General features: G+C 44.0%; 1 protein-coding gene across 1 annotated transcript in view, besides 1 other annotated feature; it reads right to left on the reverse strand.

Moving 5' to 3' along the window:
- The window catches only part of LPCAT3 (lysophosphatidylcholine acyltransferase 3), a 42,292-nt gene extending 29,267 nt beyond the window's left edge, over nt 1-13,025 (reverse strand). The window contains exon 1 of the mRNA NM_005768.6: nt 12,823-13,025. Within this exon, the coding sequence (NP_005759.4) occupies nt 12,823-12,973 (151 nt within the window). The 5' untranslated portion in view covers nt 12,974-13,025. The remainder of the gene's footprint in view (nt 1-12,822) is intronic.
- Nucleotides 13,376-13,635: a silencer, noted in NCBI's record as "silent region_4197". NCBI's record gives its function as "represses an Ori minimal core promoter by ATAC-STARR-seq in GM12878 lymphoblastoid cells {active_cell/tissue: GM12878}" and the evidence as "EXISTENCE:reporter gene assay evidence [ECO:0000049][PMID:35858748]".

Genomic DNA, 18,286 nt, shown 5'->3' on the forward strand with positions numbered 1-18,286 from the left:
AACCCTAGGAATGGAATTGCTGGGTCATATGGTAACTGTGAACTTTTTGAGGAACTGACAAACTATTTTCCACAAGTGGCTGCACCATTTTACATTCCCACCAGCAATGCTTGAGGGTTCCAATTTCTCCGTATCTTCACCAACATCTGTTTGTGTGTTTTTGATTATTGCCATCCTAGTAGGTGTGAAATGATATATCATTGTGGTTTTGATTTGCATTTCCCTAATGACTAAAGATATTAAACAGCTTTTCACGAGCTTATTGGCCATGTATATGTCTCTTTTAGAGAACTGTCTATTCATATCCATTTTGTAAACTGGGTTATCTTTTTATTGTTGAATTCTAAGAGTTCTTTAGACATCTGAATACTAGACTTATGATTTACAAATATTTTCTCCTATTCTGTGGGATAGCTTTTTACTTTCTTGATAGTATCCTTTGGTGCACAAAAGCTTTTAATTTTGATGAAGTCCAATTTATCACTGATCATACCAGCTGGAAATCTACTTTTTTCTATGTCAGCATCTCAATATTACTTGATGATCTGGGGAGAATTTTTGAAAATATAAAAATAATATACATAAAATTTTGATATAAAACAAGAGGGCCAAGACTTGAAGAAATCTGGAGCTTCTGTTGAGACGATGACCTGGGGTCCCAATGATTACTGTTAGGATCTTAATGTACTTAGTGGAAAGGTTGAGAGGCGCTGGCCTACGGCAGGCACTCCTACAGTAAGACTGAACCTAAACTGACATTGGTCAGTTTACTTGGGAAGTTGACCATATGTTTTTTGTTTGTTTTCTCCCAGGCTATAGTACAGTGGCGTGATCTTGGCTCCCTGCAACCTCTGTCTTCCAGGTTCAAGCAGTTCTACTGCCTCAGCCTCCTGAGTAGCTGGGATTACAGGTGTGTGCTACCACACCCAGTTAGTTTTTGTATTTTTAGTAGAGATGGGGTTTCACCATGTTGCCCAGGGTGGTCTCCAACTCCTGACCTCAAATGATCCGCCCACCTTGGCCTCCCAAAGTGCTGGGATTACAGGCGTGAGCCATGGTGCCTGGCCGATGGTATACATTTTAAAAATAAATGTATGCTATCTAGGAGTTCCCATGTTTTGCTATTATTTCCTATTCTTTCAGAGCACCAATAGTCAATGAAGAATTAAAAGTGAAGTCAGATTATCCTTTAGCTAAAGAATGGGGATTTCTAGTAGTACGGTTCAATATTTTTGGTCAGGGCCCCATATGTTTATACTCCAACTTTAATCAATCTTTTCCACTTCTGACTGAGGGATATGCTGTAGGAACTTTATGTGTACTATTTCAGTTGGCCTCTGCTGGCTTATAAACAGTAGTTGATATTTAGGGACAGTAATCCAGAGTAGTGTCCAAGTCCATCTGAGTTTAGAATTGCTACCACAGCAGAAATTGGAAACCTCGAGAGTTATAAGCCATTTACCACATCTACATGGATGCCACTTCTCCTTAAAGCATATACAAATATATAGAGATCGGAACTTTAACCTTCTGGGATCTAATATCTTCCTAAGATTTGCATACAGAATGTACACATGGATCTTCTATTATAGCAAATTCTTTTTTTTTTGAGACGGAGTTTTTGCTCTTGTTGCCCAGGTGGAGTGCAATGGCGCGATCTCGGCTCACTGCAACCTCTGCCTCCCGGGTTCAAGTGATTCTCCTGCCTCAGCCTCCCAAGTTGCTGGGATTACAAGCGCCTGCCACCATGCCCGGCTAATTTTTTGGATTTTTTTTTTTAGTAGAGACAGGGTTTCGCCATGTTGGCCAGGCTGGTCTCAAACTCCTGACCTCAGGTGATCCACCCACCTTGGCTTTCCAAAGTGCTGGGATTACAGGTGTAAGCCACCGCGCCTGGCCAGCAAATTCTTAATTGCCTGTAAAATTACTATCTCACTATGTATTATTTTCGGAAGCAGATATGACCGTGTACAGTTTTCTTATAAAAGTGCCATAGCAACATGAATACTCAGTACTGACAAGCATCTTTAATTGACAAAAGCTTTTTTTTTTTTTTTTTTTGAGACGGAGTCTCACTCTGTCCCCCAGGCTGGAGTGCAATGGTACGATCTCGGCTCACTGCAACCTCCCCCTCCCAGGTTCAAGCGATTCTCCTGCCTCAGCCTCCCGAGTAGCTGGGATTACAGGCGTGCACCACCGTGCCCGGCTAATTTTTGTATTTTTAGTAGAGACAGGGTTTCACCATGTTGGTCAGACCAGTCTCAAATTCCTGACCTCAGGTGATCCACCCACCTCAGCCTCCCAAAGTGCTGGGATTACAGGCATGAGCCACTGTGCCCGGCCATGACAAAAGCTTTTTATTTTTAATTTAATCTTAGCCTATGGTTAAAGTGAAGCATTTAAATAGCCTACTTGATGACTTCATGTGAGCCAAGAACAAAACCTGGGTCTGATAATCTTCTACCTACTCTCTGACAAACTGTCCCTACAATTATAATGCAATGACATTTCTATGAGCAGCCTCTATTACTAACAGTTATTATACACTTGGTTCTTATACAGAATACTTCATTCAAGATGTCCAGAGCTTCATCTAGCTCACTATCTTCAAAGCTTCTGCTTGCAAAGGGAGGAACTTACACCATCAGTCCATTTTAAGCCAAAAGGAAATTCTTACCCAGAAATTAATTACTTATCCTTTTTTTAGTGTGTTACTCTCCACACCCCCTTCCTGTTTTGAAAGCAGGGAGAAATAATGATGTATACAGTATCTTCTGAACTATACAAATTACAGATAAGCTTTAAAGGTCTCTAGGAAGCTACTACTGTTTCACCATAAGAACTCCAAGTGGGCCCTAAATCTCCTGGTCCTTGACTTCAGCCACTGCTAGGAAAATGTCAATACACACACACTCCTATCTTAAAAACTCTGTGCTTGAGAAGAAGGATGGTTTGCTTTGATATTAGACTAGCTTTCCCTGGCAGCTGCAACTAGGGAACCTAATTTTTGTTAAAGCTACAAGTCACAATTTATTACTTATATTAAGAAACGTAAGGAGATCAATCAGGAGAATGCTATATTGCTTAAGGTGGTTGATGCAACACAAAAAAGATGGAGCCATTAGTCCAATAACCTTATTAAAAAAATTCCTCCTCTGGGTGTGGTGGCTCACGCCTGTAATCCCAGCTACTCCGGAGGCTGAGGCAGGAGAATTGCTGGAACCTCGGAGGTGGAGGTTGCAGTGAGCTGAGATTGTACCTCTGCACTCCAGCCTGGGCAACAAAGTGAGACTCCATCTCAAAAAAAAAACAAAAAACACAACTCCTCTGTATCTAACCTTCTTATCAAAAGTGTGAAACAGATGGTGTATGTGATGATCATGATAATGAACATAATAACAATGTGAACATAATAACAATGTGAACATAATAACAACAACATCTCTTTATTCCTCAGATAACATCCAGAGCAGGAACTCTGGAGTCAGGCAGAACTGAATGTGACTTTAAGCAAGTTACTCAATTTTTGTAGGCCCAACTTTCCTATCTGTCAGGCCTACAAATGGGAAAAACTAAACCATAAGGAATCTAAGAGTTTTGTTTATTCCAAAGAGTACAGGATACAATGACCTTTCTTTTTTTTTCTGTCACCCAGGCTGGAGTGCCATGGTGCAATCTCGGCTCACTACAACCTCTGCCTCCTGGGTTCCAGCGATTATCCTGTCTCAGCTTCCCAAGTAGCTGGGACTACAGGCATGTGCCACCATGCCCAGCTAATTTTTATCTTTTTAATAGAAATGGGTTTCACCATGTTGGCCAGGCTAGTCTCCAACTCCTGACCTCAGGTGATCTGCCTGCCTCGGCCTCCCAAAGTGCTGGGATTACAGGCGTGAGCCACCGCGCCTGGCCAATGACATTCCAAAAAGGTACTATCAGGACATCAAGTACTACAAAATAGGCACCGGAAGAAATATGCTAAATTAGTAATCCTCAAACTCTAGAGTAATAAGTATAACCTGGCTTGCTAGAACAGATTACTGGGCACTATCCTCAGAGTTTCTCAATCAGTAGTTTTGGAGTAGACCAAAGAATCTGCATTTCTAACAGGCTCCCATAAGATACAGATGCTGTTGGTCACAAGACCATACTTTGTGTCTCCTTGGAAAGGGAGAAAATAAATATTTATTGACAGGGAAGGGAAGAACAATTATTTAAGATGATCTTGGGTCAAGCATGGTTAAGTGTTTACATAGTTTATCTTATTTAGTCCTTACAACATCCCAATGAGCAACAGTTCTCAAACTTTTCCAGGCCAAAGGAGAATGAACACATCACAAAAGAGTATGCCTAAGCAGTCTTCTAGAAATAGAAAATTTCTTTGATGACTGTATTACTTTAAAAATTCATATAAATTTTGTATTCTGTTTCAAAATACTGCTGCTAGTTATGAATGAAATATAAATCTAAAAATATTTATCAGATAAATTGCTTAACTCTTCATTGCAATTCTTTAGTAAAATTGGCCTGTGGGAATATAAAGAAATGGGTGGTTGAACTCTGGTAATGAGCTTATGGTGAAACAGCTAGTACATATTTATTTGATCCAGCATTTGAACCTAGGCCAGAAGATCTCTAAAGACAATGCACATGTTACTACCTTACTCTGTCATTGACCTCCACCTACATAAAAGGCCTATCATGTTTTTCTCTACTGCTCTTTTACGATCTTCTATTGTTCTGGTTAAAGAGGACTACTTGCTGTTCCTCAGATTTTTCTCAAAATTTTTTTTTCTTTTTCCTTAGATTCAGGGACAGACAGGGTCTTACTCTTCCTGATCTCCAGATTACTCTTTGTAGCTGGAAAGCTCCTCCGCTTTCATCTCTACTTTACTAGAATCTTACCATCCCCTTTAAGGCCCAGCTAAAATGTCACTTTCTTTCAGAAGACCAAATACCATTATTGATTGATTGATTGACTGACTGAGACAAGGCCTCACTCCTGTTGCCCAGGCTGGTGCAGTGATGTGATCATGGCTCACTGCAGCCTTGACTTCTGGGGCTCTGGTGCATCCTCTCACTTCAGTCCCCTGAGTAGCTGGGACTACAGACACATGCTACCATGCCCAGCTAATGCAAATATCATTTTTAAAAGGCGACTGAACTGGACGCCTCATATGAGCTCCCATGGCTGCCCAGACATGCTTTCATGTCAGTGATTATATAATTTTTTTTGTAAATTAGCTTATGCAAATAATCTTGTGGACCCTAACTTATACATGCTTCTGCAAAGAAACATGTTTAACGATAAAGTTATACTGGAATTCAAAACATGATGTTTTATGGAATGTAAGACATTGGGGTATAGATAAAAAGTGGTTGGAAAAAATATATATATTTATTTTTAGAGATGAGGTCTCCTTCTGTCATCTAGGTTGGAATGCAGTGGCATCATCATAGTTCACTGCAGTCTCAAATTCCTGGGCTCAAATGATCCTCCCACCTTGGTCTCCTGAATAGCTGGGACTACAGGTGCATGCCATCATGCCTGGCTAATTAAAAACAAAATTTATTTATTTATTTTTGAGACAGAATCTTGCTCTTTTGCCCATGCTGGAGTGTAGAGGTATGATCTTGGCTCAATGCAGCCTCAACGTCCTGAGTTGAGCGGAGGACCCCGGGCTCCAGTGATCCTTCCACCTCAGCCTCCCAAGCAGCAGGGACTACAGACATATGCCACCCAGCCCAGTTAATTTTGTTCACTTTTTGTAGAGATGAGGTATCACTATGTTGCCCAGGCTGGTCTTGAACTCCCGGACTCAAGTGATCCTCTTGCTTTGGCCTCCCAAAGTGCTGGGGTTACAGGCGTAAGCCACCGTGCCTGACCTGGAAAATTGTATTTAAAAGAAATTCTTGGCCAGGGGCAATGGCTTATGCCTGTAATCTCAGCACTTTGGGAGGCTGAGGCTGGTGGATTGCTTGAGCTCAGGAGTTTGAGACCACCCTGGGCAACACGGTAAAACCCTGTTTCTACAAAAAATACAGAAAAAATTAGCCAGGCATGGTGGCTCACGCCTGTAGTTCCAGCTACTCAGGAGGCTGAGGCTAGAGAATTGCTTGATCTGGGAAGCAGACGTTGCAGTGAGCTGAGATTGCACCACTGCACTCCAGCCTGAATGACAGAGTAACACCATGTCTCAAAAAAAAAAAAAAAAAAAAAGAAAGAAAGAAAAAGAAATTCCCAAACGGGAAGGTTTAGATTATGATGAAATTTGTGGCTATGAACTAGAATAAAGTCTAAACATGTAGAAGTAATATACCTAGACTTTTAAAATTGGAAGGGTCCTTGAAAGTCATTTAGGACAGTCTCCCTATTTTATAGCAGTAGAATTTTTGGACCCTGCTTTGTATTATGGTCAGAAGTCTCTTTGTTTCATTAATGCTGCTTAATTTTCATCTAGCTTACCTTTGGTCTCTTTATATTGTGATTCCAGTGCTACCTGAAGAAAGCTTTCTGCACTGAATAATGGATTTTTTTCTGAAGGGCCAGACCTGACTTTGGTCCAAAGGGAACTAAACTGCAGGACCTCCTTTGATTTTAAAGGTCGCTAACTTTAGTGATGCTAATTCTGAACCTCTGAGGGATGAATTGTTACCCCCAGCTGCAATTTTTGATCAGTCTAACAGCCAAGCCACCATCATGGCCAAGACTAGGGAACACTCACAGTAAGCAGGGTGGCCATCTGCTCCATTTGGCCAGCTCTAGCTTTGGACACTGAGAGGTGGCTCATATACTGATTGCATCTTGGTTTAACCACTGAGAGTGAAAAGAGAAAAGGACACCAAGGGCATTTATCTTTTCCAGCCCCACATGCTCCTCCCAATCTCAGCGGTAAAGAGCAGGAACTCTGGAGTCAGGCAGAACTCAGTGTGACTTACTCAATCTTTGTAGGGCTGACTTTCCTATCTGTACCAGGAGATCTTAACAGCACTATAATTACCTCACGGGTAACTGGCAGGTTTAGGTGGGGAACTGCCTGTTGACCATTTAGGACAATGTCTGGTACACAGAAAATCCTTAATAAATGCCAGCTATTACTATTATCAAGGGGTAGCAACATTAACATACCCAATCAACGTGAATAAGATCCTCTTCTCTGTATAACCTTTTCCATGGCATTTCATTCCCTCCCTGAGTCAGTTATGATACCAATACTGTCTCCTAAAACTCTGTCTTTAGCCCAGCTTCTTTCCTGAGCTCAAGACCAGGCTTCACAACTCCCAAGATACCTGGAAGTGCCCTTGGAACCTAAAGTGAACCCCAAACCAGATCATTTCCTGGCACTTAAGAGTATCTGATCCTCCACTTGATCTCTGGCATTGGTCAAAGATACCCTTATCTTTCCAGCTACTCAGGCAGGAGGATGGAGTCTTTTTAAAATTACGACTTTATCCTCCAGCTAATAAGTTGCCAAGTCATTCATTCATACATTCACCTATTCAAGTATTTATCGAGCCTTTTCTACAAGCCAAGTAATGTGTTAAACTCTGGGTACACTGTGGTAAACAAAACTTCCATGGTTTCTGTCCTCATCTACAAATATATAATTACAAAGTGTAATATATACTTGGAAGGAAATTCCGGTCAGTATGAGAAAGTGTAACAGGGGACATAATTGAACATGAGAGTCAGGAAAGAACTCAGAGGAAGATGAAAAGGAGTTTGTCAGGTGACTGAAGGGCACTCCAGGCAGCAGGTAAGCGTGTGCAAAGGCTCTGAGGTAGGGAAGCCTTCATGCCTTTCCTGAGGAACTGAACAAAGGCCATGTGGCTAAAAGGTTGTCAGCTTGCTTGGGACGAGGCTGGGGCAGCAGGCAGGGGCTTACCAGCCAGGTATGGAAGCCCCTGAAGGGTTCTGAGCAGGAGAGGCACAGGATCGGATCACTCTGGCTGCTTTTGGAGAGTGGACTGAGGGGGCAAGAACAGAATTAGAGACTAGTCAGGAGGCTACTTGGGTGGTGCTGGTGACAGATGGTTAGTGGCTGTGGTGATGGAGAATAGTAGATGGATCTGAGACACAATCCAGAGGTTGTATTGATAGGATTGGGTGACTGGGATGTGGGGAGTGAGTGAAGAAAGGCAACAAAGCTGATTCTTGGGTTTCAGGCATGAGCAGCTGTGTAGATGACTGTGTCTACAGAATCTACCTTTCAAAAGGTTCCGGTATTCCTAGACCATCTCACAGGAGATGCCCACTTTCTCCTCTCAGCACAGCCACCCTGCCTCCAAGTCATTATAACTTCCTCTCTAGATCACTTCTTTCTCCTTAGTTTCCCTACTACTTGTCTATGCTGACTTCAAATCACCCCAGGCTGTATTATCTTTTTAAATACAGCTCCAGCCATATTATTCCCCACTCAAAAATCTCCAATGTTCCCTATCACCTACGTGAGTACTAACTCTTTACCTTGGCTTTAAAGGCTCTTTAACCTACAGTTCCAGCCTGATTTTCCATCACTTCTTTAAAGTCCTGTTTTAGTCACACTAGACTACTGACTGTTCCTTGGCTGTGTTGCCACATTCACACCTCAGTGCCTCTGCTCATGCTATTCCTTAAGTCTTACCATCTCAGCATGCTGAAACCTTACTCATCTTTAAATGAAATGTCCCATCTTTAAATCTCACAAAGCTCTGTACCTCTCTTATGGTGCTTAAAATTTATTGGGGTTATTAGTATACTTATCTCAGGCCCATTTCCTATACCCTAACAGACCATAATACCTTTGAGTGCAGGGCTCCTGACTCATACTACACCCACTGCTCCTGCCCTTGCAGGGTTAAGAATACTGCTTTACCTGTAGTAGGTGCATGTTACTGAATTTATATGAGCAATTCATGGTATTAGTTACATTAAGGAGTGATGAGATCCAAGCTGTTGAAGGGGAGATGTTTTCTGGTAGTATTTGCCAGCACCAGGGCTCATGGCAAAATTCCTCTTCAGCATCCTTCCATCAAACTCCTTGCAAGCATACACCACACAAACATAAACACACTCCTTTTACAGTCTTCTGACTGCTCAAAATACTCCAGTGCAGCAGTCCACATAAGCTTACTTTTTCTTTGAAGTATTGAATATTAAAAATTGCAGCCTCGGCTGGGCGCGGTGGCTCATGCCTGTAATTTCACGCCTGTAATTCCAGCACTTTGGGAGGCCGAGGCAGGTGGATCACGACGTCAGTAGATTGAGACCATCCTAGCCAACATGGTGAAACCCCGTCTCTACTAAAAACACAAAAATTAGCCGGGTATGATGGCGTGCACCATAGTCCTAGCTACTCAGGAGGCTGAGGAGGAGAACTGCTTGAACCTGGGAGGCGGAGGTTGCAATGAGCCGACATCGAGCCACTGCACTCCAGTGTGGGTGACAGAGCGAGACTCCGTCTCAAAAAAAAAAAAAAAAAAAAAATTGCAGCCTCTAACTCAAGATTTTTCAAACTGTTGTAACTCATTAACAAGTCATGAAATCAACTTAGTGAGTTATTATTAAGGGCAAGTATTCTTTCCTGAAACTTGTTTCAAATACGTGTATACACATACAAGTCTGTGTGTTCTGGGTCACAATGTAAAACATATTTCTTACGATGGATCTTAGTCAAAAAGGTTTAAAAGCCAGTGCTTTAATGCTCTGCATTCCACCCCAAGATCAGCACACAGAACTGAAGTAAAAAAAGTAAGATGTTAAGAAAATAGTAATTAGACTATCTGATTAAAACGTACACTTGAAAATGTGAATGATATACCTAACTCTTCCCTTGGGGTATTTGCATTTAGGGAGGTGTTTTTAACCTGAATTAATCTAATCAGTGGAAAGTGAACCAGAAATCATTTTGGACTACAGGCTTTCTTGGTACCTCCAGCAAGGATTTCCTCCAGTATCCCAGTTCCCTGAGAGAGCTGGGTTCAAGAACCAGGAACTCCACTGCTGAAAGGCTACTGGTTTCTAGGTTACAATACACAGAAATGGTAATAACCTTTGTAAGGGAAACATATTTACAACCAAAATGCACTCCTACCACGCACACATCAAGCTTAATCAATTTATATTTATATGTATGTATTTAAACTGTGCCTACTAGGAATACAATCCTACCCGTCCACATGATGAGCTATACCTGATAGGAGGCAAGTTGAAGCCCCAAGTTGATCTAAAAATGAGAAATACTATGAATTACTGAAGGCAACAGGGTATGTGAGATAGGAAGGCAGGGTGTGGGAAATGGTAGAATGAGCAAGGGGGCTCGGGAGTGTGGTAGATGCATTACACCAAGTGTTTATTACTTTGATGATTGGTGGTAATGAGAGAAGATGAGAGAAGAGGAGTGGGATATGGAGAAAACAATTTCCTAGTCATCTGTATGCCCCGTGACAGTACACAGCAATAGCCCAGCAGGAGTGCACAGGCAATATGTGATTATGTCAACAAACAAAAGTTGAATTCTTTATGTCAACAAACAAAAGTTGAATTCCAAGTCCTAATTCCAGCCCTAACTCCATTTAACAGATTGCCCCTTATAACTGGTTGCTACTTGTGTTACATTCTGAATTTATTGTTGAGAAACCAACAGTTTCCTAACTAATGAATGTAATACAATTTTTTTTTTTTTTTGAGACAGGGTCTTGCTCTATCCTTCAGGCTGGAGTGCAGTGGTGCCACGGCTCACTGTAGCCTCAAACTTCCAGGCCCAAGTGATCCTCCCACCTCAATCTCGGGAGTAGCTGGGACCACAGGCATGGCATGAGCCACCACGCCCAGCTCATTTTTTTATTAATTTTTTTTTTTTTTTTGGAGACAGAGTCTTGCTCTGTCACCCAGGCTGGAGTGCAGTAGAGCTAACTTGGCTCACTACAACCTTCACCTCCAGGGTTCAAGTGATTCTCCTGCCTCAGCCTCCCAAGTAGCTGGGATTACAGGTGCCCACCACCATGCCCAGCTAATTTTTATACTTTTAGGAGAGATGGGGTTTCACCATGTTGGCCAGGCTGGTCTCAAACTCCTGACCTCAAGCGATCTGCCCACCTTGGCCTCCCAAAATGCCAGGATTACAGGCATGTGCCCCTGCGCCTGGCCTAATTTTTTGTAGAGACAAATAAAATGTTGCCCAGGCTGGCCTCAAGCGTTCCTCCCACCTTGGCCTCCCAAAGTGTTACGATTATAAGCATAAGCCGCTGCGTCCTGTCAAATGTAAACACTAATTGCTAATTACAATGTCAAAAATAACTGGGTCAGAAACAAGGATGAAAGAGTAGGAAGTTCAAAGCTGGTGTAGTGCAAATAAGCCTAGACTAGGGTGCTGATAAATTTGGATGATGTCTGGGTGACACTGAGCAAACTGCACAACCCCAGTTCCATTCCATCTTTAAAATCTTACGATTCCACAGAGGAAGAAAAAGGTGATCTTTATTTGGAAGAAAGGAAGATCTTGGTTTGATATGTAATAGGAAAGTAACAATGCTATTAGGCAAGGTTGTTTAAATATGAATTAATGCCTATCCCATTATCTAGATTGGGTTAACACCCTCTGGTGATATTATATATCAGTGTTTCTACTGAATACTGGATAAACGCCAAACTTCTCTCTGGCATTTAAGGCTTTCCACACCTGCCCAACTTTATCTCAAACTTCTCATGGTTCAGACCTCTAACCCTCTGCTCTAGCCCCAGTCCTGTTTCCTTATCACCACTTACAGCTTTTGCTTAATCCTTCCCACTCACCCGCTCCTAAAGTTCTATAACCTTCATAAAACGTTCCAACTGCTTAAATTTTATGTATATATATGTACAGGTACTTCCCAATCTTGGCCCTTCTACAGGACTTTATGGCAATCCTATGTGGTAGGCACTGTTGTCCTCATTTCATAGATAAGGAAATTAGGCCCAGAGGGTTTTGCGGCCTGCGTAGGGTCCTTCAGTTTGTGAGCAGCAACAAGGCTGGATCTGATTTGTTTGCCTTCAAAACCCATACTTTTTTCCATTGTACTATGCTACCTCCATGTATTAAACCATGGAGTGAGGATGCGGTAAAAAAGCCTATAAACCAGTTGTAATACAGCTTGTTGTGGCATAAATTCAGATACACCACATCCTTTGAACCACACGTGTAATAAACGCTTGGAATAGTATGGATCGATTTTAAGGAGGTTGTTAGTCCTGTTTCCCAAGTCCAGCATTAAAATGATATTCCAGGGTAAATGACAGGTAGGTGGCTTGGAAAATAAAAAAAGCAACATGGTATAAAAAGAAAATAGTAGGACTGGGACAGAAAAGAGACGAAAGTATAATATAAGCTGGCAATAAGCAAAACAGGCGCTCAGAATATGAAATATGGAATATGGGGCTGAAAAGGCCGAAAGGGCTAAAGTTAGGGGCCCTATGCCTACCGATGAGATGCGCGCGTGTGCGGGGTGGTTATTAATGACAGAGCAGGACACATGGCCAGACAGTGGAACTCAACAGAGCGACAAATAAAGACAGGTCGTGGGAGCAAGGGTAGAGCCTGGCACAAGAGGGCGGGGGCCCGACTGAGAGGCCAGAGGGCATGGCAGGGGTTGAAGAGAAAGATGAAGAGGTTCAGAGGGCACAGCGCCCCAGACTCGAGACAGGACTTCTGTCTTCCCTCAGTAGCTGTTGGTGTGCTTCAGGATTCACACCCGCACCCGGCACAGCCCTCCCGGGTGGCTCCGGGAAGAGAGGGAGGTCCTGTCCCCATTCCTCCCCTACTCCCCGGGGACTCCGCGAGGGGCGGAGGGAGGCAGGAGGGTCCTTACCCAGGAAGATGGAGATGATCAGCCGCAGCGCCTGTTCTGACGCGCCCAGGGACGTCGCCAACTTGTTAAGGCTCAGCTCCTGGAAACCCGACTGCAGAACCCCCGCCAGCGCCACCACAGTCCCCTCGTCCCCCTCCGCTGAGGACGCCATCTTAACTCCGGGAGCCCCACAGGGACCCCCCAGCTCCGCGCGCCCCGAATGCGGGCAAAACGCTATCGCTTCACCCCCAATTCCGGCTCGGGGCCCGCCCACGGCGTGCGCATTGGCTGGAGGCCCGCCCCGCGGCGCCAGCTCACCCCGTTATTGGCCGACCTGCGCAGAGGGCGGGGCCTAGCGCGGCAAGGTAGGAAGAGGGCGGGTCTGAAGGTTTGTAAGGCAAAGGTGACTCCTGCCGAGAATGCACACGGGGAGGCTCAGGGCTGGGCGGGGCTTGGCGTCGGGACCCAGAGCTGCCATTGGAAAGGTCTGAGCCCGTGGCCCGGCGACAGTTCAACTCCGTTCGAAATGCTCCCAGGAGGAGCCCTCCGGGGCGACCGTCCGGCCGGCCGGTTCGCTGCCTTCCCATTGGCTGAGGCGGGAGCAGGCGAGAGTCTGGACGCGGGGGGGCCGCCCGCGCGCGAGGTTACTCCCGGTCGCCGGCGCTGGGGTTACTGGGGCATGTAACGGGGAGGCGGGAACGCCCGCGCCGCCTTTCGCGCGCCCCCTAACGGCGCCTCCCGGCCCGTTCTTAAATTCTTAGGTTGTTAGACTCGTCGCCTTCACTCCCGGAGGTTCAGCGGAAAGCCCAGTGCCCCAGGAACAGACATTGTCTGCTCCTTTTATTTCATGGATCCCTTTTCCATGCAGTTTCCTGTAGTAAAACATGACCTTCCCCCTAGAGGCGATGAAATTAAGATATGCCTATTTAACACTTATTATTTTAATTAAAAATTCAAATAATTTTGCACTGAGTAATACATGTTTATGATAAAAGTTATAACAGTATAGAAATGTAAAACAGAAGAGTCCTGTTTCCCCTCCCTGCTTTTCATTCTCACTTCCTACAGGTAATCCTGTTAAGATTACGCCAAAAAAAAAAAAAAAAAAATCTGTCGAGCACTTACCATATGCCAGGGACTGTGCTGGGCTTGGGAATAGAATCAGGAGCCCAGAGCCACGGAGTGGGAGGATGCACAAATAATAGCATCAATTAACGTGTTATTGCAAGAGAAGGTAAGTGCTCTGAAGGAAAGGGTCAAGGTTCTGTGAGAGTATGTAACAAAGGAATGCTAAGAGTTTCTTGCAATAACTCTTAGTTACAATAATTTGTGGCGCATTCTTGTAAAATTACAGCTTATACTTCTGTAGCACTTGCACTTTATAAAGCACTTTCATCCGTATTATTTCACTTGCTTTGGCTGCGCAATAGAATATTTATTATGATGATGTCCTCTTACAGACACAGAGGCTTGGAGAAATTAAGAAACTGGGTAAGTTCCTTTACAAGTAAGCGGCAGACAGAATTTAAACCTAGGTCTGTCAAATTCCCTACCCCTACTCCCATTTTGGGCAAGATTTTAAAAAACAAAATATTTCATTCACACGGAAAAGTAGAGGATAATATAACTTCTCCAGGTTAAGAAACAAACATCACCTATACATTTGAAAAGCCGGTATATCCCTTCCTGAGGGCATTTCCCTCCTTCCTTTCTCAGAGGTCACCACTTTGCTGACTTTGGTATTTATCAATCCCATGCCTATTTTAATACTTTACATACAGCATATATCCAGAAAGGAAAATTAGTATAGTTTTGCATGCCTTATATTGGCCGGGCACAGTGGTTCATGCCTGTAATCCTAGTACTTAGGGAGGTTGAGGTGGGAAGATTGCTTGAGCCCAGGAGTTGGAGACCAGCCTGGGCAACATAGACCCTGTCTCTACAAAAAAAATAAAATAAAATTTAGATGAGCATGGTGGAACATGCCTGTAGTCCCAGCTACTCAGGAAGCTAAGGTGGGAGGATCACTTGAGCCTGGGAGGTTGAGGCTGTAGTGAGTCGTGATCATGACACTGCGCTCCAACCTGAAAGACAGAGCGAGACTCTGTCTTGCAAAAAAAAACAAAAATTATATATATAGGCCTGTAATCCCAGCAATTTGGGAGGCTGAGACGGGTGGATCACCTGAGGTCATGAGTTAGAGACCAGCCTGGCCAACATGGTGGAACCCTGTCTCTACTAAAAATACAAAAAAATTAGCCAGGCGTGATGGCCGGCTCCTGTAATCCCAGCTACTTGGGAGGCTGAGGCACGAGAATCACTTGAACCCGGGAGATGGAGTTTCATGTGCGTCCGTGTGAAGAGACCACCAGACAGGCTCTGTGTGAGCAACAAGGCTGTTTATTTCCCTGGGTGCAGGCGGGCTGAGTCCGAAAAGAGAGTCAGCAAAGGGTGGTGGATTATCATTAGTTCTTATAGGTTTTGGGATAGGCGGTGAAGTTAAGAGCAATGTTTTGTGGGCAGGGGTGGATCTCACAAAGTACATTCTCAAGGGTGGGGAGAATTACAAAGAACCTTCTTAAGGGTGGGGGGATTACAAAGTACCTTCTTAAGGGTGGGGGAGATTACAAAGTACATTGATCAGTTAGGGTAGGGCAGGAACAAATCACAATGGTGGAATGTCATCAGTTAAGGCTATTTTTACTTCTTTTGTGGATCTTCAGTTACTTCAGGCCATCTGGTTGTATATGTGCAAGTCACAGGGGATGCGATGGCTTGGCTTGGGCTCAGAGGCCTGACATGGAGGTTGCGGCGAGCCGAGACCATGCCATTGCACTCCAGCCTGGGCAACAAGAACAAAACTCCGTCTCAGAAAAAAAAAAAAAAAAAGCTGGGCATGGTGGCTTACCCCTGTAATCCCAGTATTTTGAGAGGCTGAGGCGGGCGGATCACCTGAGGTCAGGAGTTCGAAACCAGCCTGGCCAACGTGGTGAAACCCTGACTCTACTAAAAATACAAAAATTAGCCGAGCATGGTGGTGGGTGCCTGTAATCCCAGCTACTTGGAAGGCTGAGGCAGGAGAATTGCCTAAACCCAGGAGGCAGAGGTTGCAGTGAGCTGAGATCGCGCCATTGTACTCTAGCCTGTGTGACAGAGCAAGACTCCGTCTCGAAAAAAAAAAAAGAAAATTATATATATATATTTATAACTTCAGTGAAGCCTAAGCATATAGTGTTTATACAGTCCAATTAAACTGCCTTTACAAAATTATGACAGTAAGAGAAATCTGATATAGTTGACTTCATCTTGCTTTTTTTGAGAGTCTTTCTCTGTCACCCAAGCTGGAGTGCAAGCACGTGGTCTTAGCTCACTGCAACCTCTGCCTCCCAGGTTCAAGCAATTCTTGTGCCTCAGCCTCCCAAGAAGCTGGGATTACAGGCATGCACCACCATGCCCAGCTAATTTTTGTATTTTTAGTAGAGATGGGGTTTAGCCATGTTGGTCAGGCTGGTCTTGAACTCCTGACCTCAAGTGATCTGCCCGCCTCAGCCTCCCCAAGTGCTGGGATTAACAGGTGTGAGCCACTGTGCCCAGCCTCCCTCATGCTTTTAACCTCCAAGCTATCTTTGGTCATTCCTGGGCATAAACCAAACTGACTTTGAGAGAAATTTAGTTTATAGTTAAACTTAAAGCAGGGATAATAGCCCTTTCCCAAACTAAGCCACCTTTATAAAACTAATGAAAGGCTGCAAGGTTAGGCTTATGAAAGGGCCCTGAATTCCGCTAAAATGTAGGCATAATTAAGTGATTACCAACCGTTGTTCAGGAGGTCACCAGATTTGTAACTTCCCCAATTACGCCTCTAGATAACATCATATTGTAGAACTTAAGATTGACCTTTTAGGATGTCTTTTCAGATTTTGGCATTTCTGCAAACCCCAGCTGGACTCGTGACTCAGCCAGTCCTATGGACCCCACCCAGAGGTGGAGTCAGGGCATGAGGATCATTTGCCATACCTCTATGATTGCATCCCCAACAAAGCAGCAGCACTTATACCGTAGGCCCCTGCCCACCAAACTGTCTTTGAAAAATCCTAGCCTCCAAATTTTCAGGGAGATTGATTTGAGTAATAGCTTCATGTACCATGTGGCATGGTCAGCCTTGCATCAATTAAGATCTTTCTCTAATGCAATGCCATGGTCTCAGTGAATTGATTTTGTCTGTGCAGCGGGCAGGAAGAAGCCCACAGGGCAATTACATATGGTAGTGTATGGCAGTGTCCTAGGCCTTCACATTCACTCTCACACTCTTCACACTCACTGACTAACCCAGAACAACTGCGAGTCCTGCAAGCTCCATTCAGGTAAATGGCCTATACGGCTGTACCATTTTTAAATTTTTAAATTTTTTTAAATTTTTATTGAGATGGAGTTTTGCTCTTGTTGCCCAGGCTGGAGTGCAATGGCACGATCTCAGCTCACTGCAACCTCCACCTCCCGGGTTCAAGTGATTCTCCTGCCTCAGCCTCCCAAGTAGCTGGGATTACAGGCCTGTGCCACCACGCCTGGCTAATTTTGTATTTTTAGTAGAGACGGTTTCTCCATGTTGTTCAGGCTTGTCTTGAACTCCCGACCTCAGGTGATCCACCTGCCTTGGTCTCCCAAAGTGCTGGGATTATAGGCATGAGCCACCGTGCCCAGCCTTTTTAATCTTTTATACCATATTTGTACTGTACCTTTTCTATGTTTAGATGTGTTTAGATACACACAAATAGTTATTACAATTGTATTATTATTGCTCACAATATTCATTATAATAACATGCTGTGCAAGTTTTTAGCCAAGGAGTACTAGGCTATACCCTTGTAAACTAAAAGTAAAATTCGAAGCCCCCACTAACTGACCTAATGGACCCTCTCCTGGCAAAGCAGACCCCAGAGTAACCTTGAAAACTGAGTTCTTGGTCATGATGGGATGAGGTCAGGCACGCCTCCTTATGCTCACCCCTCCCTCCCTAACCGGTTTAGGCTTTCTAACCTAAGGGCTAAACAGAAACTAGCCCTTTCAAAAGACTCTACCAGTGATATCAACCAACTGTCTGATATTGCTCCTCCTTTTATGCCTGATAAGAGACTCTTGAATATGAAGTGGTTCTGACCAGTCTACAGAGAATGCAGTGAGGGTTTTCATGTTCTCTGCTTCACCTTTTGATGCCAGAGGGCCAAAAACTCTACCTTAGATCATCTTAATGCCACCATTTTTTGAACATGGGGCCCGTGGAGAAGCATGAAGCTCAATTGCACATGAGTATGTTTCTCCTTTCATAAAACTCATCACTCCTATAATGTACTAAATACGTACATTTGGCCACCCCACTCAGCATAAATTTCTCTTCCCTTTGGCCCTCCCTTGAAGTATCTGTTTCTGGTTTGTGGCTGGAGGCTGTGCTTCCCCTCCCGTCAGAATGGCCACCCTGCAGGCTGCA

This window comes from Homo sapiens, chromosome 12, assembly GCF_000001405.40.
Source record: "Homo sapiens chromosome 12, GRCh38.p14 Primary Assembly".
Taxonomy (NCBI): Eukaryota; Metazoa; Chordata; class Mammalia; order Primates; family Hominidae; genus Homo; species Homo sapiens.